General features: G+C 39.0%; 1 protein-coding gene across 4 annotated transcripts, besides 1 other annotated feature; it reads left to right on the forward strand.

Moving 5' to 3' along the window:
• ZNF449 (zinc finger protein 449) lies at positions 678 to 19,295 on the forward strand. 4 transcript variants are annotated; one of them, XM_047441915.1, is made up of 6 exons: positions 678 to 1,782; positions 2,901 to 4,064; positions 4,636 to 4,766; positions 4,992 to 5,196; positions 15,774 to 15,887; positions 16,075 to 19,295. In XM_047441915.1, the coding sequence occupies exons 3-6, from the start codon at positions 4,758 to 4,760 to the stop codon at positions 16,956 to 16,958; spliced, it is 1,212 nt and encodes a 403-aa protein (XP_047297871.1). In that variant the 5' UTR covers positions 678 to 1,782; positions 2,901 to 4,064; positions 4,636 to 4,757; the 3' UTR covers positions 16,959 to 19,295. The 4 variants fall into 4 exon arrangements, with proteins under 4 accessions (XP_047297871.1, XP_016884840.1, XP_047297870.1 ...); XM_017029351.2 differs by having other exon boundaries at positions 678 to 717; XM_047441914.1 differs by lacking the exon at positions 4,636 to 4,766 and having other exon boundaries at positions 2,901 to 3,354.
• Positions 720 to 939: a silencer, noted in NCBI's record as "silent region_21019". NCBI's record gives its function as "represses an Ori minimal core promoter by ATAC-STARR-seq in GM12878 lymphoblastoid cells {active_cell/tissue: GM12878}" and the evidence as "EXISTENCE:reporter gene assay evidence [ECO:0000049][PMID:35858748]".

Raw genomic sequence — 22,956 nt, forward strand, 5'->3', positions numbered from 1 at the left:
TCGCAGCTGACCAATCAGAAAAGAAAATTTGGCTCCAGGACGGGACCAGCGAGGGACCAATTGAAAGACAAGAGGCGGGGCCCGCAGGCAAACCTTAACCCCAGAGACCTCCGTGGCTGTTGAAGGCAGAGGGTAATGGGCGGGTTCGCTAGATCGAAGCTTAGGTCTTGAAGATGGGGATACTAAAAAGCAAATCCAAAGCCACTGTGAACTGCAGGCGGACGACCGGAGTCAAAATCTCCAGGATGGTTTATTAAAATGCGAATCCCCGGGTTCCTGTGAGATTCAATGCGTCAGGGTAGCGGGTGGAGCCCCGAAATACGACTTTTTAACAAGCTCTCCCTACAAATTCTCCCCACACAGCCAGGTTTAAGAATCACTGACCGGGTCGTAACAGATTTAAAGGTGGTCCCCACCCGCTCCAGTTACTCCAAGGCTCAAGGAGAAGCGCTCATTTGGATCACGACCCGGGGTTCGCCCCACCCAACACCCTGCGACTAAGAAGCGCTTAAACAGGAAACGGGAGCCCTTCCAAAACAGCTTGAGGCTGGTTGGAAGCCAGGAAGAGTCCCAGCCCCTCCCACGTCAGCATCCCTGTGGGCGCACAGCCCGGCGGGCGGCGTGTGGCCTGCCGGGAGATGTAGTCCGTAGCGCAGTCCCGCGCCTGCGCCCTGGGCAGTTGCCGGTGAGCTTGGGAGAACCGTGGGCGCTGAGGCGGTGAGTCCCCGAGCGGCCAGAGGGCGTGGCCGTTCCCTGGGGCGCGGGCGCGGGTAGCGGGGCTCCTTTCCGTGGCCGGGGCCATGCTAACTGGGTGATTCCAGCTGTGCCCCGGGCGGCGGGCGCCGGAAGGAGTGGTGGGCGGTGGGCCCCTATCCGGCCAGGGTCCCCGCCACCACTCCCTGCGACCCGACCGGGCCTTCCCGGGAGTCCTTCTGGGCTGGGAGCTCCCCTCCAGGCGTCGGGGCCTCGTCGCCCAAGAGCGAACAGGGGCCGCGCCCGAGACACTAGCATCCGAATTTGAATCAGCTTTTACACTTTTTAGGGACGTGTCACTCTTGCCGTTCCTCAAGTGCTCTCTTTACACACATCGCTTTTCTTATAGGCCCCATGAGGGTGGATTCCCTACGAGAAGGTTTGGAGAGAAATCACTGGTCCCACAGTGAAATGAACGTTTCTCTGGGAAGGGTCCATCGAAGGAAACCCGAAGGGTCAATTCCCTGGTAGACGTGGTGGAAGGTTTTGGGTCAGTCAGGGAAGGGCTGACCAGCTGTGAGGCTGGCGCAGATTAACGGGTGGGTCCAGAGCCAAAAACAGCACAGTTCCTGGATGCCCTCCAGCAACGGTTAGGTGCCTAGACTCTGGGAAATAGAGGCCCCCTAGGAATGACTCCTGACAAGCAATAAACTTTAATTGAGTGCTTCCTCTGTGCCGGGCATGCTGCTATTCGCTTCGCATGCAATTGGATCCATGCAGAACATTTTATAAAGTAGATGCTATGATTATCTTCTGTTACAAAAGAGGCACTGGGTGTCAGGGTCACACAGCTAGCAGGTTATTATACCTAAACCGATCTGCTAAAGTCGGGCTACCATCATGGTAAAGGGGGATACAAGGACAGAGTGCTGATTTAGGTTGACTGGGGAGGAAGAGAGTCATGAGTACTTTTTTTCCCTTGAATCCCCTCCAGAGAAGAGGACAACTACAGCAGCTGTCTCAGCACATGCAGAGAGAGAGGACCCAAGGCACATGGGCAGATACAGGTCTTGAGACCTGTAGAAACATGTATGTGACTGTCTCTGTGACCTCAAAGACTATACCAAGAACATTTTGATGTTTTTAGACCTTTTGATTGCTGGAGAATATAGATTTTGACGTAATCACCATTTCCCTCTGGCATTTACCATGTGACCTTAGACATGTTGTTCAATCCCCCTAAGCCTCAAACCTCAATTCCCTCATCTGTATCCAGGGGATAATACTAGTACCCAGCTCCTAACCTTGGGTGAGGGTTAACTGACAAGTATATGTAGAATGCTTAGAACAGTACCTGGCACATAGCATGAACTCAATAAATATCCGTTGTTGTGAATGCATAGCAAATTCCTAATGGCCTCCCTATTGCAGTGTATTTTTCACATAGGAGATCCTCTTGGAATGCTATGGTGGAGGGGAGTGGGGAAGGAATGGCATGGGGTTACTGGGGGAATTACGCAGACTCGGTGAGGACAAGAATGAGAGATGGACAATTTGCTGCCTTTGCAAACCATGGCTCTACCTAAGTTCACTTTGGTCGAAGGCCATTAGGAGATACTTAAAGCTAGATGGACTTTCAGAGTTTTTTGGAAGTATTGTTAGTATTCCTTCGCCATTTCTTTTGAGATCTACATATATTCAGAAACACATGACAATTGGAATTAAACTGGGAATGGGTTAAATGCAAAGAGATCTATAAGGGTTCATTTATTAATAAATTCACGGTCCTTAGCCTGGGACCATGGAATTCTAGAGCAGAACTGTCCAATAGACCTTTTTGCAGTGAAGTCTATTAAGCATTTGAAATTTAGCTAATATTACTGAGAAACTAAATTTTTGACTAAACTTAAAGTGTCACATGGGGCTGTTGGCTACCATATTGGACAGCAAGCGCAATTCTAGAGGCTTTGAGATTTTATAAACTTTTGAAACTAGATGCAGAAAAGGATGTGTATGTGTATTTTTCTAGGAAGTGAGTCTGAAGCTTTCATCAGATTCTCAAAACCAAGAGAAAAATAAAGAACTACTTTAGGTCTTTGGTAAAAAAGAAGTTAACAGGTTCTTTGGTAAAAAAGAAGTTGACCGAGGTAAGTAAGCCCTCTTGTGACCACTCCTGTTTCTCCTTTCTCATTTTTTTCTGTCCTTAGCTGTAGGTGGCTCCCTCCCACCCCAACGATTTCAGAGAGAAACAAGTCGGAATCTGAGAAGTGAGGCTCCAGATAAACTGTAAACTGCTGGAAGGGGGCGATGGCTGTGGCCCTGGGTTGTGCAATCCAGGCATCCTTGAATCAAGGCTCTGTGTTTCAAGAATATGATACTGACTGTGAAGTTTTCCGTCAGCGCTTCAGGCAGTTCCAGTACAGAGAAGCAGCTGGGCCTCATGAAGCATTTAACAAACTCTGGGAGCTTTGCTGTCAATGGCTGAAGCCAAAGATGCGCTCTAAGGAACAAATCCTGGAGCTGCTAGTGTTGGAGCAATTCCTAACTATCCTGCCCACAGAGATAGAGACCTGGGTGAGGGAGCACTGCCCAGAGAATAGAGAAAGAGTTGTGTCACTGATAGAAGACTTACAGAGAGAACTTGAGATACCAGAGCAGCAGGTAAGAAAAGAATGTGGGATCTTTGTGATTGGTCCAAAGGAAGTAGCTGAGGCAGCTGGGACTAGACCACACATTTGTCTCTATGTCATTCCCCAGCCTCAAGATTTCTCCAGAGTCCTCTTCCTTTTTCTCTTCTGCTGAACTCAGCAAATGAGTCAGTGCTTTTAACTCTATCAGACTCAATTCCCCTTCTATAACAAATAGTTTATAATGTCCACTTTACTATGCACAAATGAAATTGATAGACAACATAATCTACCCACATACATCAACCCAAAGCATCAGTAAATTGCTCCATGGCCTGAAGGCCAATTCTAGCCATACCCTGTTTATCTGTATACTCTGTATGTAATGGTTTTTTTATCTTGTTGAAAGGTCATTGAAAAAAAGAGGAAGGAGAAGAACTGACAGTGAATGTGCCCCACAGTGCCTAAAATATTTACTATTTGGCTCTTTATAAAGTTTGCCAACCCTGAATCAAGTCTAGAAGGAATATAAAGGAAAAGAAACATAGTTTGTTATAAATTGATAGGGATTTGTACATATATGTGCTTGGGCCTGACCGAATGTCATGAAGTTGTCAGATGTTTGCATCTATGCTTAGAATCATTGTGAATGGGACAGCCAGAAATTCAGACTGATAAAGCTCAAGTACTACGAACAGTGTTGCTCCTCGTCATGTGATTTTCCAAAATGGCATACGACTCTAGGTAAATCTGAACAATAAGCAGTGTAGTCTTTGCTTTTCACATTAGTGCATTCCTAGAAAATTTCATTTGTGCTGAAACTATGCAAAACAAAACAAACAATTGTACTTATTTGACCAACAAGGTGGGGTTCTTGACAGGTTCTTTTTACTCACATGAATGTTTGAGTGGGACATTCCACACTTGGTAGGGACCTAGAACAATTCTGCATTGTAAATTATGTTCCATTAAATTCTGATAGCCACCACCTGTCAGCATATCCAAAACTCCCCATGGGGACAGTGGCACTGTCTGCCATTCAGAATGACTGTGTAAAGCCTCTTTTCAGAAGTGCCGTGACTGAGAGAGGGCAGTATCTTTGGGAAAAGGGAGCAGGAGCTTCCAGATGGGCATCAGGGATACTCCAGTCTTGTCTATGGGGGTTCTCTGCAGGAGCTGTTAGCTTCAGGGCTCCTGAACAGGAGTCTTCTGAAGTTTTCTGTCTCCCTAGGGTACTTGGGTTGGTGGTTGCCCTTCCTTTCTCTGTCTCCTTGGTTTTGTTTACTATATAAGATTTTATCTTCATGTGGTCTAGACATTTGCTGCTGAATACAGTCACTACTAGTCATGTACAGCTCTTGAGCCCTTGAAATATGGCCAATACAAATTGAGATCTGCTGTAAGTATGAAATACACACCACATGCAGAAGACTTGGTATGAAAAAAGTAGGTGAAATATCTCACTAATAATTGTTCATATTGATTACATGTTGAAATCCTGATTGTTTGCACTGGATTAAGTAACACGTACTATTAAGATTGGCCTTACTTTTTAAAAAATTTATTCATATGGCCACTAGAAAATTTAAAATTACATGCATGATTCTCATACAATTCTACTGGGCACTGTTGGTCTAGACTTGAGAGTGATGGTTCTGGCATTTCCCCCAGGTTGATATGCATGACATGCTCTTGGAAGAACTGGCACCAGTGGGAACGGCACACATACCACCAACCATGCACCTAGAGTCACCTGCACTCCAGGTAATGGGACCTGCCCAGGAGGCCCCAGTAGCAGAGGCATGGATCCCACAGGCAGGGCCACCGGAGCTGAACTATGGTGCTACTGGAGAATGTCAGAACTTTCTGGACCCTGGTAAGGCAAGGGTTTCTCTCCTTTCTTTTGTTTCTGTTTTGAGAGTTCAGGAACTCTCAAGGGTTGGGGTTGGGTTAGAAACACCAATTACTCAATGGAAATTGACCACTCAGATAAAGAAGAGGAAAAAGTCTCTCTGGGAATAGTAGGGAACAAAGCACTTTGGATAGAACCCTGGGATTAGGAACCCTTTAAGCTAATGACCCTGATAAGGAGTCTTTTGATCAAGAATGTTACACAGGAAAACTATGGGAGTTTGGATTCTGGATAAGGACTCATTTCTCAGCCCAATTTTAATCAACAGGAACTGTGATGTGGTGGGCCCCAAGGGCCTCGGTTGCTTTTATGGCATCAGAGCCTTATTCAAACTTAATACTTTAGTAATATAGTCTATTTAGATCCTGTAAGATCAACCACTTACTGCAGTCTAAAGGAAATATCTACCTCATTAAATCAAAACCTATTACAGTGTTTTTCAAACTGTAGTAAGCAGACCATTTGCAGCATGAACACCACAGGTGCATGTTTAGCAAGCTCTGCAGGTGAGTGCTACACACACTAAAGTTTGAGAATCACTGGCCCAGACACCACAGGGATTAGTTCTAGAAGGAGAAAGTCCAAGTGGAGAAAGGCAGCACGATCACATAGTCCAGTTGCTCCTATATTTTATTCCCCTTTGGGGTTTTCTATTTTTTTTTTTTTTTTTTCTGAGACGGGAGTCCTGCTCTGTCGCCCAGGCTGGAGTGCAGTGGCGCAATCTCGGCGCACTGTAACCTCCACCTCCCAGGTTCAAGTGATTCTCCTGCCTCAGCCTCTCAAGTAGCTGGGATCACAGGCATGCACTACCACACGTAGAGACGGGGTTTCACCATGTTGGCCAGGCAGGTCTTTAACTCCTGACCTCAGGTGATCCGCCTGCCTTGGCCTCTCAAAGTGCTGGGATTACAGGCGTGAGCCATTACACCCGGCTTCTCCTTTGGGGTTTTCTTACCCAGTGTTCCCTGTACCTCTTCTACCCCTCACATTAAAGCTTTGGCCCGAGTGTGGCCAGAATCCTCTCCCCGACTCCCCCAGGTACTGTTTCAACATGTTCGCACGTTCAAGAGACTGTTAAATACTGAGACCACAGAAGACACATAAAAAATGAAAATAAGAACTGTCCAAGTTATAAAATATAAATGTCTGATCCATCCATAACTAGCTCAGTACCCAGGATTAGGAACCATGCCCCTTTCCACATCATATTAATATCATTTATTCATTTGTACACTATCTACGAGCACCTTTGAGGAGCCAGACACCATGCCAGACCCTGGGGATTCAGTAGCACACAAGGTTGGAAAGCAGCTCTGGTCATCTTGGAGATTACAGTTCAGTGGACAATTCAGATATGTTAGTAGGACGTTTTGTCCTGTATGTAACAGAAATCTGACAGTAAATGGTATGTTGGGAGGAATAGGATGCCCAGGAGCATGGAGGAGGGCCACCTAACCAGCTTTTGGCTGAGAGGGAAGTCTGGAGGAAGGAGGATCTGGGTTAAAACCTACAGGATGGATCAAAGTGAGCCTGTGGAGTGGTGTACATGGGAAGCGGAGAGGGCTGGGATCAAAAGCAACAACATGTGCAACGTTCTGAAGGCAGAGAGAAGACCTCCTGCTGCAGTGCAAGGGACATAGAAGAGCAGTGGGGCAGGAGTGGCAATAGAAGAGGCTGGAGAGAGAAGCAGGGTCCTGGGTCACGAAGAACTTGCAGCCTCATGGAGAAGTCACACTTGATTATCAGGGAAGTGGGGAACCATTTTGAGGTTCTCCAGTACCAGAATGATACACACAAATTTGCATTTTAGGAGATTATTCTGGCTATAGTAGGAATGGATACATACTACTGAAAGCAGGGACCCCATTTGGGAGGTTGTTGCCATCATTCAGGTGAGAAGATGTTGTTCTAGAGCAAGGGCATGTTGGTGATGATGGAGTGAAAATGTAATTCAAAAGATACTTAGCAGGTGTGAAATATAGAGCTTGGTGATTGGGTGTCAGGGTGATGGAGAAGAAGGGAGTAAGGATGGAATCCAGGTTTCTGGCCATTGAACTGGGTAGATGGTAATGTTATTCACTGACATGACAAACAAAAGAGGAAGATCAGATTCGGTGGGTCAAGTTGAGTTTAGATTTGAACATACAGAGTTTGAGGTGCTTATGGGTCTCCAGCATATTTTTAAATAAAAGTGACAAAAGAGGAAAACTTTACAAGTATGCATATTGTGGTCAAAGCAGAACTATATATTGCCATTTATGTTCCAAGCTTTACATCATCTACATTTCATAGTCTATTGAGGAATTCTAAAAAAAAAAAAAAAAAAAAAAAAAAACAAAACCGGGTTTATGTGTATATGCCTGGAACAAGTAGTAAAACTTAGCTAGTAATATTTTGAAGTATAACTCTTTCTGCATTTGCATTCTGATTCTCCATGTTAATTCGCTCCTTTTGTCAACACTGCAGGTACAAATACCACATAGTAGCAATATTTATCTGGTGTTAATATTTTGCTCTCTAAAGCACATGGAAATCTAGTATATTTAACAAAGGATAGGTAGAATTAATTAATTTAACAGATAAAAATTACAAATTGGAGGACAGGAAATTATCCTTTTCTTATCACCGTTTAAAGTGATATATTATGCTTTGAAAAATGTTGCAAGGCTTATTTTATTATTTAAAGGTTACTTAAACTTTTACTTTAAACAAAAGTATATTTGATGTATTACATGAAATACATTCTATTGTGGACTGAATGGAAAGCACAAGATGCCAGCTGAGTGGAAAAGAAATTCAAAAGTAATGGAAGAAGTCAATTGATTTTATATTAATGTTTGGAACCTATTTCCTATGAGCAAAAAATTAGGTTGTTGAGTATATATGAATTGTGCATATATATTTTTTCATGTAATATAACTGAAAACACATATACACATTCATTGCAAAATAAAAGAGAACTTAAGTGAACAATATAAAGTGACCTAAGGAAGACATAAACTTTAAAACAAAATCCCTTATTTGAATTCATGCTGGACACTTTGATGCCAGAGATAGGCAATAATATTAGAATGTATGCAATCAGAAAGAAAAGAGGCAAGGAGACGCTAGTCTTAAAAACATAAAATATATCATGCTTATCTTTGAAAATATGGAGTTCAAAATTCGTACACCAAAACTGGATTGCATTTTGAGTTGTCAAAGCTTTGGGTTTTTCATTTCAATTGATGAGGTTTCATTTGGAATGTGTGTGAAATGTAAAAGATCACATCTTTTTGGTGATGAAGAATATGAGAGATGAAAATTTAAAGTAAAATACAGGACAAACAAATGCTGTCTAGAAAGCATCAGAAGATTCTTATAACTTAAACTTCTTCAGATTATTCTACTATACCAAAAAATTTACCATAAGCTAATATCTAACCCCCAACTATAGTAATGACATTTCTTGGTGTAGTGAAGCTCTTACGAGACAGTCTTTGCTAATGGGGTTTAATGAAGCCATTCCCTGAGTTTAGGATGGGGGGAACATTCAATGAAGCACCTTCTTTGTTAATCTCCAATTGCTTTTCCCTCTTTGCATGGGATAGCTATTGAAGGGCAATTAATTATCCCCGAAACTTAGCAGCTTAAAGGAAAAAGTATTTATCATGTTACTATTTTTGAGAGGAATTCAGGAGTGATCTACTAGATGTTTATGGCTCAGAGTCTCTCTTGTAGTTGTTGTGAAGATGTCATCAGGGACTGGCAGGATGCCTCAATTCCTTGCCAAAGGAATTTCTCCATAGGTTACCTAAGTATCTTTATGATGGGGCAGCAGGCTTCCCCCAGAGCAAAGGATCCAAGAGAAAGCAAGGAGGATGACACAATGTCTTTGATAACCTACCTACATACCATACTTATACCATATTCTGTTCATTAGAAGAGTCACTAAGTCCAACCCACACTTAAGTGAAGGAAAAGGAAGTTCCACCTCTTGAAGGAAAGAATACCGAAGAATTTGGGAGCGTATTTTGAATCAACCATGCCTGGACTTAATAGCCTTTTACTTAAAAAAAAAATCAAAAATAATTTCCTTTTTTTTTCTTCAGTTAATTTTTCCTAAGTAAAATTTCTTCACTTAATTTGGTCAAATATAATATACCTATGATGGATCTCTTAGCTATAGCCAGAGGATGAGTTTAACATCCTGGGCAATATGTTATTGTCACTGGAAAACTAATATTCTAGACTATGGTCTCAAAACCAGGAGAGATGATTAAATTTAAGGTAACAGGCTTTGGTTTCTATCTGTAGGGCCCTCCTTTTTTCCTTTTATTTTTAATTGACATGTAATAATTGTACCTATTTATGGGATACAGAGTGATATTTTGATATGTGTGTACAATGTGTAATGATCAAATGAGGGTAATTAGCATATCTGTCACCTTAAACATTTATCATTTCTTTGTGTTTCTCATTCCTGTGGGAGCTAAAAAAGAAAATGAGCTCACAGAAGTAGAGTGTAGGGCCCTTCTCTTTTTACTGACCAGCAGTTAATGTTTCTTCTATTACTGTAAAACCACTCATCCAATAATAGTTGCTTTACAGATAGCTTACATTGAGGGTAAAGAAAAGAGCTCCTTGACAGAAGTAGGCATTAAGGCCTGCTTTTTTATTGCCACTCAACATTGACCCAGAAGCCATGGAGCCAAACTAGAAAACATTTGGAGAATACTTATATATGCGGGTATTGATATGATAAATTTCTAGAATTGGAATTGATTGATTAATGGGCATTTAAAACTTTAATAGATATTGTCAAATTGACTTCTGAAATTATTGTACCAATTTATCCTCCCACCACAATATATAGGAATGCCAAATTCTGCTCATCTTCACTTATCTTTGCTATGTAAGAGCCATAACTGTTCTCGCTATGTTGGCCAACAGAGTAGGGCAAATATCTGTGGAAACCCTTTCAGTAAGTGTCAGTTTTATTCAGCATTGGTGGTGGTATTTTATTCAATATATAAGAGTAGAGGATGGGAACTGATACCTAAAGGTGAGACATGGGTCAAAAGTGAATGGGAATTGGTTTTAGCTGACATGGACTGTGAAAATAAGGTTGAGAAATGCAAATAAATTGGTGACAGTGTCCAGAAGTATCTGAATATTACTCAGGACCACAGGGTTGTGGTGGGCTGTGCTACACATATAAGAAGTGCATTAGGTTGGCATCCATGAAGAAGCTCAACTATGAGCACCATGTTCTCACATCCAAGGTGTAGAGACTGTCCTGATGCACCCAATTTGGGGCCAAGCTTTTTGAAAGCTGGCACCAGGAGTATGATGCTGGGGACAAGGAACCAAAGCAAAAGTACTCAAACCTCTGTAATTTGGTGCTGTACATAAGGTAGCAGCTAGACTTGAGGGCCAATATGGGAAGCCCATGAGACACAGCTGCCTGGTAGTAACACTTCTGACCTTAGATCTCATGGGTACCAGATTCTGCTTCCAGGGCTACTTTTAGTCCTTCAGCTAGGTCGTAGAGCTTCTTTTACCCAAGGAGCAGGTGTCTGGGCCTGGTTTTGAAGTGATATTTGATTAAATCTATAACCTTAAGAGTTTCAAATCTGTGCTCTGTAAGATGAGAATAGCCATATGAACAATTCCTGTCATTCCCAAAACTGTTTTTCTGGCTTTCATATTGAGATCTCCTGGGCCTCCAGGCTTCTACCACCCTAAGCCTTTGCTACTTGCTGCTCTCCCCAGTTTCAATTCCTTCTCACTTCTGCTTGATGGCAGCTTTCTTTAATCTATGAACTCCAGTTTATTTTTTTCCACTAACTTTTAAAAATTTTTTTTTTAATTTTTGTGGGTACATAGTAGGTGTATATATTTATGAGGTATATGAAATATTTTAATACATTGCATGCATTGCATAATAATCACATCATGGTAAATGGGGTATCCATCTCCTCAAGTATTTATCCTTTGTGTTACAAACAATCCAATTCTACTCTTAGTTATTTTTTAAATGTATAATTTCTGTTTTTTTGGGGGGGCCTCTTCCACCACATCATTCAGTTATCCCACTCCTGGGTTTAAACCAAGCTTTGTTAACAAAATAGTGAGTTTATAAAACATTTTATTGGAAGTGTATTTTATATTTCTTAATCTAAAATCTATTGTTTTTTTCCCTGTGAAAATGTAAAATAAAGTATTTTACACCACTTCCTAGGATTTGATATAATGTACTGAAATCTAAATTTTACTTCAGATTAATGTTAGCCAAACTAATTTGTTAATATCATTTAATGATGTCAATATTTAAATTTTTTTTACATTTACATCTTTTTAAAATAGCGTTATTGAAATATAATTCACATACCATACATTGTCACCCCTTTGAAGTGTACAATTTAATGTTTTTTGGTATATTCACAATATGTACAACTGTCACCACCCTGTACCCTTTAGCTATCACTTTTTGGCCCCCATCTCTCCCACTCCAAAGCAACCACTAATTTACTTTTTGTCTCTGTAGATTTGCCAATTCTGGATATTTCATATAAATGGAATCATACAATATGTGGCCTTTTATGACTAGCTTCTTTCACTTAGCATATTTTCAAGGATCAACTATGTTGTAACATGTATCAGTACTTTATTCCTATTTATGGTTGCATAGTCCATTGTGACATTATACCACATTTTGTTTATTCATTCAACAGCTGATGAACATTTAGATTGTTTTTATATTTTGGCTATTATGAATGATGCTGCTATAAAAATTTCAGTATGACATTTTGTATTTATGTATGTTTTCATTTTTCTTGGGTATATACCTAGGAGCACAATTGCTATGTCATATGGTAACTCTATGTTTAAACTTCTCAGGAACTTCTAGACTGTTTTACAAACTGATTGCACTCTTTTACATTCCGACCAGCAGTGTACAAGCACTCTTATTTCTTCACATCCTAGGCGACATTTATTATTATTATTTGACATTTTTATTCTAGCCATCCTATAGGTATGAAATAGTGACTCATTGTGGTTTTGATTTGCATTTCTTTCTTTGAAGAGTAACGATGCTGAACATGCTTTCATGTGCTTATTGGTCATTTGTATATTTTCATAGACCTATTTAGTCCCCTTGCCCATTTTTAATTGAATTATTTGTCTTTTTATTATTGAATTGTATGTGTTCTTCATACAGGTGACCCTTGAGCAATGTGGAGGTTAAGGGTGCTGACCTATTGTGCAGTTGGAAATCCATATACATAACTTTTGTTTCTCCCAAATTTAACTACTAATAGCCTACTGTTGACTAGAAGCCTTACTGATAACATCAATGGTCAATGAACACATATTTCATATGTTATATTTGTTATATATTGTATTCTTACAATAAGTAAGCTAGAGAAAAGAAAATGTTATTAAGAAAATCATAAGGCAGAGAATATATTTATTATTCATTAAGTGGAAGTGGATCATTATAAAGGTCTTTATAGCAACACAAATGAACTAAGACAGTGTGGTACTTCCATAAGAATAGACATGTAGATCAACAGAATAGAGGAGAGTTTAGTCTTGCTGTCTCAGGGCTGTCAGAGGTGGAAGGAAATCTGCCTGTAAGTGTATTTGTGTAGTTCAAACCCATGTTGTTCAATGGTCAACTGTGTATTCTAGATAAAAGTCCCTTATTAGACATATGATTTGCCGGTATTTTCTCCCGTTCTGTAGGCCATCTTTTCACTTTCTTGATAGTGTCCTTTGTAGCCCAAAATATTTTTTTAATTTTGATGAAGTCATATGTAATTGTTTTTTCTTTTGTTGTTTGTGCTTTTGATGTCTTATCTAAGAAATAATTGCCTAATCCAAGGTCACAAAAATTTTCTCCTGTGTTTTCATCGAACAGTTTTATAATTTTAGCTCTTACATCTAAGACTTTGATCTATTTTTCATTAATTTTTAATAGGGTGGGAGGTAGAGGTCCAAATAATAATTTTTTCCCGTGGAGACATCCAGGTGTCTCAGCATTATTTGTTGAAAAGGCTATTCTTTTTATATTGAATATCCTTGAAACCCTTTTCAAAATCAGTTGACCACAGGACAGGTATATGGATTTATTGCTAGATTCTCATTTCTATTCTGTTATGTTTAGTTGGTTTATAGTATTTTCTATGTCTTGTATTATTGATCTTCTGCCTAGATTTTCTGTCTATTAGTGCAAGGAGTTATTGAAGTGTCCAACTACTATTGTTAAATTATCTGGTTCTTGTACTATTTCTGTTGAGTTTTGTTTTATATATTTTAGTACTCAGAAATTAAGTGCATACATGATTATAATTGTTATATCTTCCTGATGGATTGATATTTTTATCATTATAAAATGATCCTGTATATCTTAGTAACAGGGGTTTTTTTGTTTGTTTTAATGCCTATTTTGACTGGCTCTCTTGTGGTTGCTACTTGTATGATATATCTTTTTCCATCCCTTTACATTCAATCGGTTTGTATCTTTGAATCTAAAGTATACCTCTTATAAACAGTATATAGTTGGATCTTTTCAATCCAGTCAGACCTTCTCTGCTTTCTGATTAAGTCATTTAATGTATTTACATTTAATTTCATTTGTGATATGGTTGGATTTATATCTGCCATTTTGCTTTCTGTTTTCTATATGCCTCAAGTCTTTTTTGTTCTTCTATCCCTCTTTTACTGCTTTCTTTTTCATTAAGTAAATATTTCTCATGTAATATTTTACTTACTTTAATAATTTTACTACTTTTATTTCTTTAGTGGTTGCTCTAGGATTTACCATGTACATCTTATCATTGGTTTCAAAGTTATACTAACTTAATGCCAGTGAGATATAGAAATGTTTCTCCTATGTAGCTCTGTTCTCTTTTCCCCCTTTTTGTGATATTACTATTATACATGTTACATCAAAAATGTTTTAAACCCAAGAATACATTGTTATAATTATTGCTTTATATAATTTTAAGACTCTTAAGAAGCTGAAAGAAGAAAGGAAAATACATATATATTATAACTTTTGTTATATTAGCATTGTTTATCATTTCTGGTTTTCTTCATTTGTTCCTGTGGATTTGAATTACCAACTGGAGTCATTTCTTCAGTCCCATACACTTTGCTCTTACCCACCTCATTTCTGCTGTTATTGGGAAATATATTACATTTCTATATGTTGTATGCCCAGCAATACACTATATACATATTTTTATACAGTTGCCTTTTACATCTTTTAACAAAAGAAAGAAGCAATACTGTCTTTTCTCATTACGTAATTATTTTTACTTGTGCTGCTTTGTCATGTGGATTCAAATTACCATTCATTTAGATTATAAGTCAGTATTTTGTACCTAAGCCTTTGCTATTCTCTCCTATTCCAAGTTTCAATTGAAACTCCATCTTTTACTTCACAGCAGCTTTCTTTTGATCTATTACCTTGAATTTTATTTGACCTGTTTCATATTACCCTGTAATTTCACTCTTAGCTTTGAAATCCAAATGAAAACAAAATAGTGAATTTAAACAGCACTTTTATTTGAAATTCAGCTTTAGTTTCTTAATCTTAAAAAGGAAATTTTTTTTTCATGAAAAACTAAAACAAGGTATTTTAGCCCACTTCCTCTGCCTTGAATATAATGTTCTGGAATTTAAATTTTACGTCAGATTAACATTAGTCAAACTAAATTCCTAATGTCATTTTAATAATACTAATATTTAAACATCAGCCTACATTTAGATATCAAATTAGTAATTTACAGCCCACATTTCATTGAAGACCAGTAAACTTGATCAGAGATAAAGGAGGAGAATAAGGGGCTCAGAAAAGAGGATGTAAGCAACACCAGCTGTCAATGAGGAGAGGGGTGGTCAGACAAGGCGAGAGTGAGTGGTTGGAAACTTCACCTGGTTGTCCTTAGATTGACACTTTGAAATACTATTTTGTAGTCATTTTGGGTTATAGTCATTTTCACCTGTATAAGTTATCTGGGCTAATTTTAAGAGAATCCACTTTTAGACTTCAGCGGAAACCAACATAAATGCTGCTTTTGCTAGGTTCAACCCAGTTCAATTTTCGTTTAAATTCAAAAGACTCCACTGAAATTTTTCCAGTAAACACTTTACTACTTTCACCTCTCTTTCTTCATTTGGCACTCAATAGCAGTGTTTCCCAGTATTAATATGGCAAAACTTTATGAAATTTACTTTATATTTTAGCTCTAACCTAAACAAATCTAGTATCAAAATAGATGCTGAAATGATTTAGTGCATTGATTTCAGCACAGAATTTATTCACTCACCTTCCATAGATTAGAGAATAGCTTTGAATTGAACACCACCTCATTTTCATTTTGCTCTTATCTTTTAAAGAAAAGACTGTTGTAAGAGACTCAGGTGAAGTAATAGTAATGGAGAAGGAAGTAGATACTAAGAGGCTATCTGTCCAAGAAATCAGCCTAAATTTTGGAAAAACCTTTGATGAGCCAAACTGTAATGCTTCCCATCTTTCTTCTGGCCAGGATATCCATTACCAAAACTTGACATGAACTTCTCATTGGAGAATAGAGAAGAGCCATGGGTGAAGGAATTACAGGATTCTAAAGAAATGAAACAATTACTTGATTCCAAGATAGGTAAGTAATTGTTCTTTGATATACTAGTGGGAAAAAAAAAGAAAAATTTAACCTAAATAAAGAGTTTGGAATTCTATTTAGGAATTTCTATGTTCCTGCCACTGGTTTAACATAACTCTTCATTTTCCTTCACTTTCTTTTCTCCATGGAACACAATATCATCTGCAGTTTCTATTTCTTCTCTCAGGTTTTGAGATCGGGATAGAAAATGAAGAAGATACTTCAAAACAGAAAAAAATGGAGACTATGTATCCATTTATTGTAACTTTAGAGGGGAATGCTCTCCAGGGTCCCATTTTGCAAAAAGACTATGTACAGTTAGAAAATCAATGGGAAACCCCCCCAGAGGATTTACAGACAGATTTAGCAAAACTGGTAGATCAGCAGAACCCCACTCTGGGAGAGACACCTGAGAACTCCAACTTGGAAGAACCTCTCAACCCTAAACCCCACAAGAAAAAGAGTCCAGGAGAGAAACCTCACCGATGTCCTCAGTGTGGAAAATGTTTTGCTCGGAAGTCACAACTTACTGGGCATCAGAGAATTCATTCAGGAGAAGAACCTCACAAATGCCCTGAATGTGGGAAAAGATTCCTTCGTAGTTCAGACCTTTATAGACACCAACGACTTCATACAGGGGAGAGACCCTATGAATGCACTGTATGTAAAAAGCGATTCACTCGGCGGTCACATCTTATAGGGCACCAGAGAACCCATTCTGAAGAAGAAACATATAAATGTCTTGAGTGTGGGAAAAGTTTTTGTCATGGATCAAGTCTTAAAAGACATCTGAAAACTCATACAGGTGAAAAACCTCATAGATGTCATAATTGTGGGAAAAGTTTTAGTCGACTGACAGCTCTTACTTTGCACCAGAGAACGCATACTGAAGAGAGACCTTTTAAATGTAATTATTGTGGGAAAAGTTTTAGACAGAGACCAAGCCTCGTTATTCATTTAAGAATCCACACAGGGGAGAAGCCATACAAGTGTACTCATTGTTCTAAAAGCTTCAGACAGAGAGCCGGCCTTATTATGCACCAGGTCACTCACTTTAGAGGACTTATTTAAGAATTGCTAAGGGAAACAGGTCTTACACAAATTGACACTAACTCAAAAAAAATCTTAACCTGCAGCAGGCTGTTTGTCTTGGAAGCTTTTGTTTGAGCTTATAAGAACATAGACAGCTTTTTTTTTTACTAGTTTTAAAACCCATCTTCCAAGGTATATGAATTCTAGAGTATTTATCTACTCCTGTGATTTTCTTAGATTTGATTTCTTCTGTCTGCACAACTCTTCTTTTTTTAATTACAATGAAAAATTTTGTGTTCCAAGGCAACTGTATCATAGGTGTAAACATAAAGCATATAAATTATGACAATCCTTTTAGAGGTAGGGTCAATATAGTGGATAAACCTGTCTATCAGACGTATTGATTATAGCAGTACTATAGTTATTCTGCTGTCATTATTAAAGATGATTATATTCATTCAAAGCTTTAGATGTGTCCCATGTGGCAAGAAAGGAGACAGTGAATTTTGTCAAACAATAAAAATGTGTCAGGAACACAAGGATGAAGGGGATGTCATTTGCCTGGTAAGAACTGGGTTATTTCCACTGAAATTTGTTATGTTTAAGGAAATTAAGATTTTAAGCTTGAAATTATACAAGCAGAATCTAATTTAATTTTGATTGACTGAAGAACCAGGGTCTTTTGCTCTCCTTTGGTATTTCACTCTCCTTTGGTATTCAATCATGTGTCTTTTAGTGCTTTTTAAAATTTTACCCATTCTTTAATTCAGCATCTCCCTATGTATGTGTCATAGAATACTTAGTTCTGCTAGATATTCTGCAAATATATTTGGGAATTACTTCCTGCTGTTTCGCCTTCTTAGGTTCATAGTACACATCAGCATATGAGAATCTCTGAGAGGTCCTCTAGAAAGGAGAGAAAAAGCACCTCTTTTGGCTCAATGTTTTCCAAACTTATTTGACCCCAAAACCTTTTTCATATACCCAATAATAAGCTACAGAACTAATATTCTGCAAATGTCTCTTGGAACACACTGCCTTAAACAGATATTTCTATAGCTGTCAGTATAGTTATGTTGCTCCCAAGCCTAGTTATCTCCAGTTGTTTTAAGGGTGTTATGAAAAATTCTTAAAATATATATGAATTTGTGTAACACACACAGAGACACACACACATACTACTTTAAGGGGGTGAGGATCATTAATTCAGATAATTTTTAAGTTTCCTAGTGATTCTCAATCTCTTTGAATTTTACTTACATTTACACACACACGCACACACATATGTATATACACATATCATTTTAAGAAGCTGAGGATCACTAATTCAGATAATGTATAAGTTTCCCAGTGATTCTCAACCTCTTTGAATTTTACTTATAATTACATACACACACACACTGCTACTTATATAAATGTTCTCATGTAATCATGGTAACAGCTCAAATTCCCAAAGCAAGGGAAGACTTCTCATTGTCAGTTAAACCTGTTAAAACATGAAAATATTCATTGAGCCTAGTTCCTTGTTATAAAATACAAGAAATAAGACATTCAGGCATTTTCCCTTTATGAAGATGTTCAGTCATCCTTTCCTTGAACTACAATTAGGAAAAGTATATGTCTTTATTCCATTGAAGTTCTCGAGAGTGATATAAATACTTTGGGGGGTATCTACTATGTGCCTAACTAGTCCTGTTCTAGGCTTAGTGGAAGCTAGTAAAGAAATATAATTCATGGATCAGGCTCATAAAGATTTTATAATATTTTTAGTTAAACAAGAGTTGGGAAACAGGTGGAGAATAATGCAAGAGAGTTTGTAATTAAGTGCCAATTATACCAATTGCTAGACCCAGGATGTATCTTTAATTCTTGTCATCCAGGTCAACATATGATGCTGCTATAAGTCTGGGGCTCAAATTGATATCCCAGTAGCAATAAACATATAATATAGGAGGAGTCTGAATGTAGAGATGAAAAATACAGAATGTAATGGCTTCTCTTTTCTCTCTTGTGGAATTGCATTCAAACCAGAACAGTGCCTTAGAATGGATGTGCCCAACTGCTCTGTATTTATGCAATATTTGAATAAAGCGGAAATGTATGTGCTCTTCCTGCTTCACTTGCACTAATTAATTATTTGAACAACTTAGAGCTTCTTCCCTGAACAGTGGCAACAAGCATGGCAATTGACTCTGTCCTCATCCCAAGTTGGAATCGCTTTTCTCTCTGCAACCATGGCACTGTGATTATGCATCATTTTTAGCATTTAATACAGTCCATTTTTGGCTAGTAGGGTTAGTTGCAATCATAATATGAGTTGCATCCTCCCTCTCATTTATATCAAATATACTTGACTAGATTTTTACAAGTTAGAGAATGTCTAATATTCTTTGTTACAGTGCCCTATATATAAGAATAAATATTTCTGGTATTGAATCAAGAAACACATGAAATAGTTCTTGGAAACAGATAACATATTTAGAACATTGCATGGATAATTATACTTCTATGTCTAATTGTACTTCTGAGCATTTCAAAAAGATAAGGGCAAAATACAGTACCTACCTCCTAGCTATTATAAAGGGGAAATTACAGTACCTACCTCAAAAGTACTATGAAGATTAAATGAAATATATTTTGCTCTGGCCCTACACACTGTAAGCTTTCAATAAATATCCCCGTATTATATTCTCATTTTTGTAGTTTAATGATAAAAGCATTTAAAGCTATAGATTTCTTCTCTTTATGGCTTTGGACATACTTCATAGCTTTTATATGTAATGTTCTTATTGATGATTTCAAAATGGTTGTTGTTTTCATTATAATTCCTCTTTGACTTAAGAGATATACAATGTTGCCATTTTCCTCTTAATTTTTGGTTTTGCTACATTGTGATTAGAGAACAAGTTTCATTCTATTTCTGCTTTGAAAGCTCATTTAGGCTTTTTTAAAGACCTACATTTTATAAAATTTGTTAAGTATCCTAAAACCTTAGAAAATAAGGGCTCTATAGGGTGCAAATTTAGAATAGAGCCTTGGACCGCTCAATTACTTTAATGTCTTTAGGCGTATTCTTGGTGTTTGTGAAGGGTTGGTGACATCAAGATCGAATTGCTCCCCATTCTGCCTCCCTGAACCTTTGTACTCCCCCTTCCCTTGGTAAGTTTTTTCCACCACCTTTGGTCTGTTCTGTGGATGTTATACAGCAATTGTTAGTAGCTGCCTGGGCATTGAGGCAGGCAGTTAAAACAGGAAGCTAAAGGACCTAGGGGAGACCGGGACTCTTCAAACCAGGCTGAGAACGCTCTCCTTCAGGATCCCATAGTTATTTGTCTTTCTGAAAGCAGAGAGAACCTGCACAGGGCACTTTGAGGTTTTTGCGACTGTGGCCCTCCTGAATTCTCAGGGATTGTTTCATAGTGTACTGAGGATGTTGTGTAGGCTAAAATCCAGAGAAATAGGGAATAAACAGGGGAACCAGCCCCCAAGCCTCCCCATGAGGTGGGGGAAGAGAGTCATTACACTTTGTCCTCTTGCACCTGCACTCACCATAGAATCCCCAAGAGAAACAGTCTTGAGCACCTCCAGAAAACTGAGTCATCTTTATTCCTATAACCCTCTCTCATTTTTAGCCTACTGATATGGGCTGAATATTCTCGTAAATAACTGAAGCTTACCCTTAAATCTGGGCCCAGCCCCCTGCTTCTTTTATAGTCCTCTGTAACAGATGTGAAATGGGTTGGTAAGAGAGCTCATCTCTTAGCCTCTCCTTAGCATTGATAATCAGTTTACTCAGTTCCCAATCCCTGAGACTTTAACCACTGGGATTGGAAGTGGTGGTAAATCTTTTTCTCCCGGAGTGATACATAGGTTAGCCTCTATCCAGCTTTTTGTGCATTGTCAGAAAGGACTTCTCAGAGTTCTAGCAAGACCTAAGTTTACATTTCCTAAGGATTCTAAGATAGTAAAAATTACTAAAATATTGGTATATTTTAAATATTTACATTTAATGAACATCTTTATCACCTAGTACAAGAATATAAATGTATTAATTACTGAAGATAACTTCAGAACTCTAAAACTTGAGGCCTTTCCTGAAAATCATACCTTACCTGTTGGCCCTAGAAGAGATCTGTTTACCTCTACTTTGAAGTGTATTCTACAGTAATTCTTCAGCCACCTCTTCTCAACTAGGTTCCTTTCCTATGAATGCGGGAAAGTAGAGGGTGAGCAGTGAAGAACTAGAGGCCCTTCATTTTAGCCTGGAGTGGAAGGAAACACTTGTACTGCCTTATCTCCCAAGAAGTACAGTTCATCTTGGGAAGACTAGAGTCCCTTTCCCTAAGATGTTACTTACATGCTGCTGTAACACATACACACCCCACACACACATACCAAGGGAACAGGGAAGAGAAAAAGAAGTATACTTTTTTTTTTTTTTTGAGACGAAGTTTTGCTCTGTCGCCCAGGCTAGAGTGCAGTGGCACGATCTTGGCTCACTGCAATCTCCACCTCCCGGGTTCAAGCAATTCTCCCTCCCTCAGCCTCCCAAGTAACTGGGATTACAGGTGCCCACCAACATGGCTGACTAATTTTTGTATTTTTAGTAGGATGGGATTTCGCCATGTTGGCCAGGCTAGTCTCTAACTCCTGGGCTCAAGTGATCTGCCTGCCTCGGCCTCCCAAAGTGCTGGGATTACAGGCATGAGCCACCGTGCCTGGCCAGAAGTGTACAATTCTTAACCCCAATCCCTCCATTTACAAGCAGAGAGATTGTATAATTAACACCGAGAAGTTCTTTGTTTACCAAGCAAATGACCTTGACAAAGTCTCCAAGTCTTGATTTCTTTACCTGTTGGGAGTTTTAAAGCATACCCTCAAATTATTTTCCCATCAAAAATGGAGTCTCTTGTCCCCTGCCCTTGAATCTGGGCAGGCTTGAGACTGCTACTAAAGGAATATGGCAGAAATGATACTCTGTTACTTCTGAGGTGGGGTCATAAAAGACTTTGTAGCTTCCATCTTGTTCAGTAGAAGCACTTGCTCTTGGATCCCATGTAGGAAGTCTGATCAATATGGAGAGGCACCTGTAGGCTGTCTGGTGGTTATTCTGAACTGAGCTTGTTCTTCAGCCACCTCAGCCATCTCATTTTGTCTTAGAAGTGGATCCTTCAGCTCCAGCAGTTGCAACCCCGAAACATTTGAGTCATCCTAGCTGAGGCCCTACATATCTTGAATAGAGAAGAGCCATCCCTCTGTGCCCTGTCCACATTCCTAACTCACATAATTTGAAAGCATAATAACATGGCTATTGTTTTACACTGTTGAACTTTGGAGTGGTTCGTTACACAGCAGTAGAGAGTGGTAATATCTTTAAAGCAGATATAACATCTGGTAGGATGAACAACTGGGAAACAGACACTAAAGCATTTAGAAAACAGACCTATAGGCCGGGCGCGGTGGCTCACGCCTGTAATCCCAGCACTTTGGGAGGCTGAGGTGGGCGGATCACAAGGTCGGGAGATTGAGACCATCCTGGCTAACACAGTGAAACCCCGTCTCTACTAAAAATACAAAAATTAGCCGGGTGTGGTGGCGGGCGCCTGTAGTCCCAGCTACTCGGGAGGCTGAGGCAGGAGAATGGCATGAACCCGGGAGGCGGAGTACAGTGAGCTGAGACTGTGCCACTACGCTCCAGCCTGGGCGACAGAGTGAGACTCAGTCTCAAAAAAAAGAAAGAAAAAAAGAAAAAAGAAAACAGACCTATAAATAGCTAACGGGTATATGCTCAACATCACTAATCAGGAAAATGCAAACTAAAACGACAATGAGATATCATGTCACACCTGTTAGAATGGCTGTTATCAAACAAACAACAACAACAAAACAAGATAAGTGTTGGTGAAGATGTGGAGAAAAAAGAACCCTTGTATACTCTAGGTGGGAATGTGAATTGGTACAGCCATTATAGAAAACAATATTGAGATTTCTCAAAAAATTAAAAATAGAACTACCATCTGATCCATCAATACCACTT

The sequence above is a fragment of the Homo sapiens genome, chromosome X, assembly GCF_000001405.40.
Source record: "Homo sapiens chromosome X, GRCh38.p14 Primary Assembly".
In the NCBI taxonomy this organism is placed as follows: Eukaryota; Metazoa; Chordata; class Mammalia; order Primates; family Hominidae; genus Homo; species Homo sapiens.

Coding starts and splice junctions, on each gene's coding strand:
- ZNF449 (XM_047441914.1), top strand. CDS start 3,001: ATGGCTGTGGCCCTGGGTTGTGCAATCCAGGCATCCTTGAATCAAGGC. Junction 3,355..4,991: donor TTGAGATACCAGAGCAGCAG/GTAAGAAAAGAA, acceptor CATTTCCCCCAG/GTTGATATGCATGACATGCT. Junction 5,197..15,773: donor TCAGAACTTTCTGGACCCTG/GTAAGGCAAGGG, acceptor TCTTCTGGCCAG/GATATCCATTACCAAAACTT.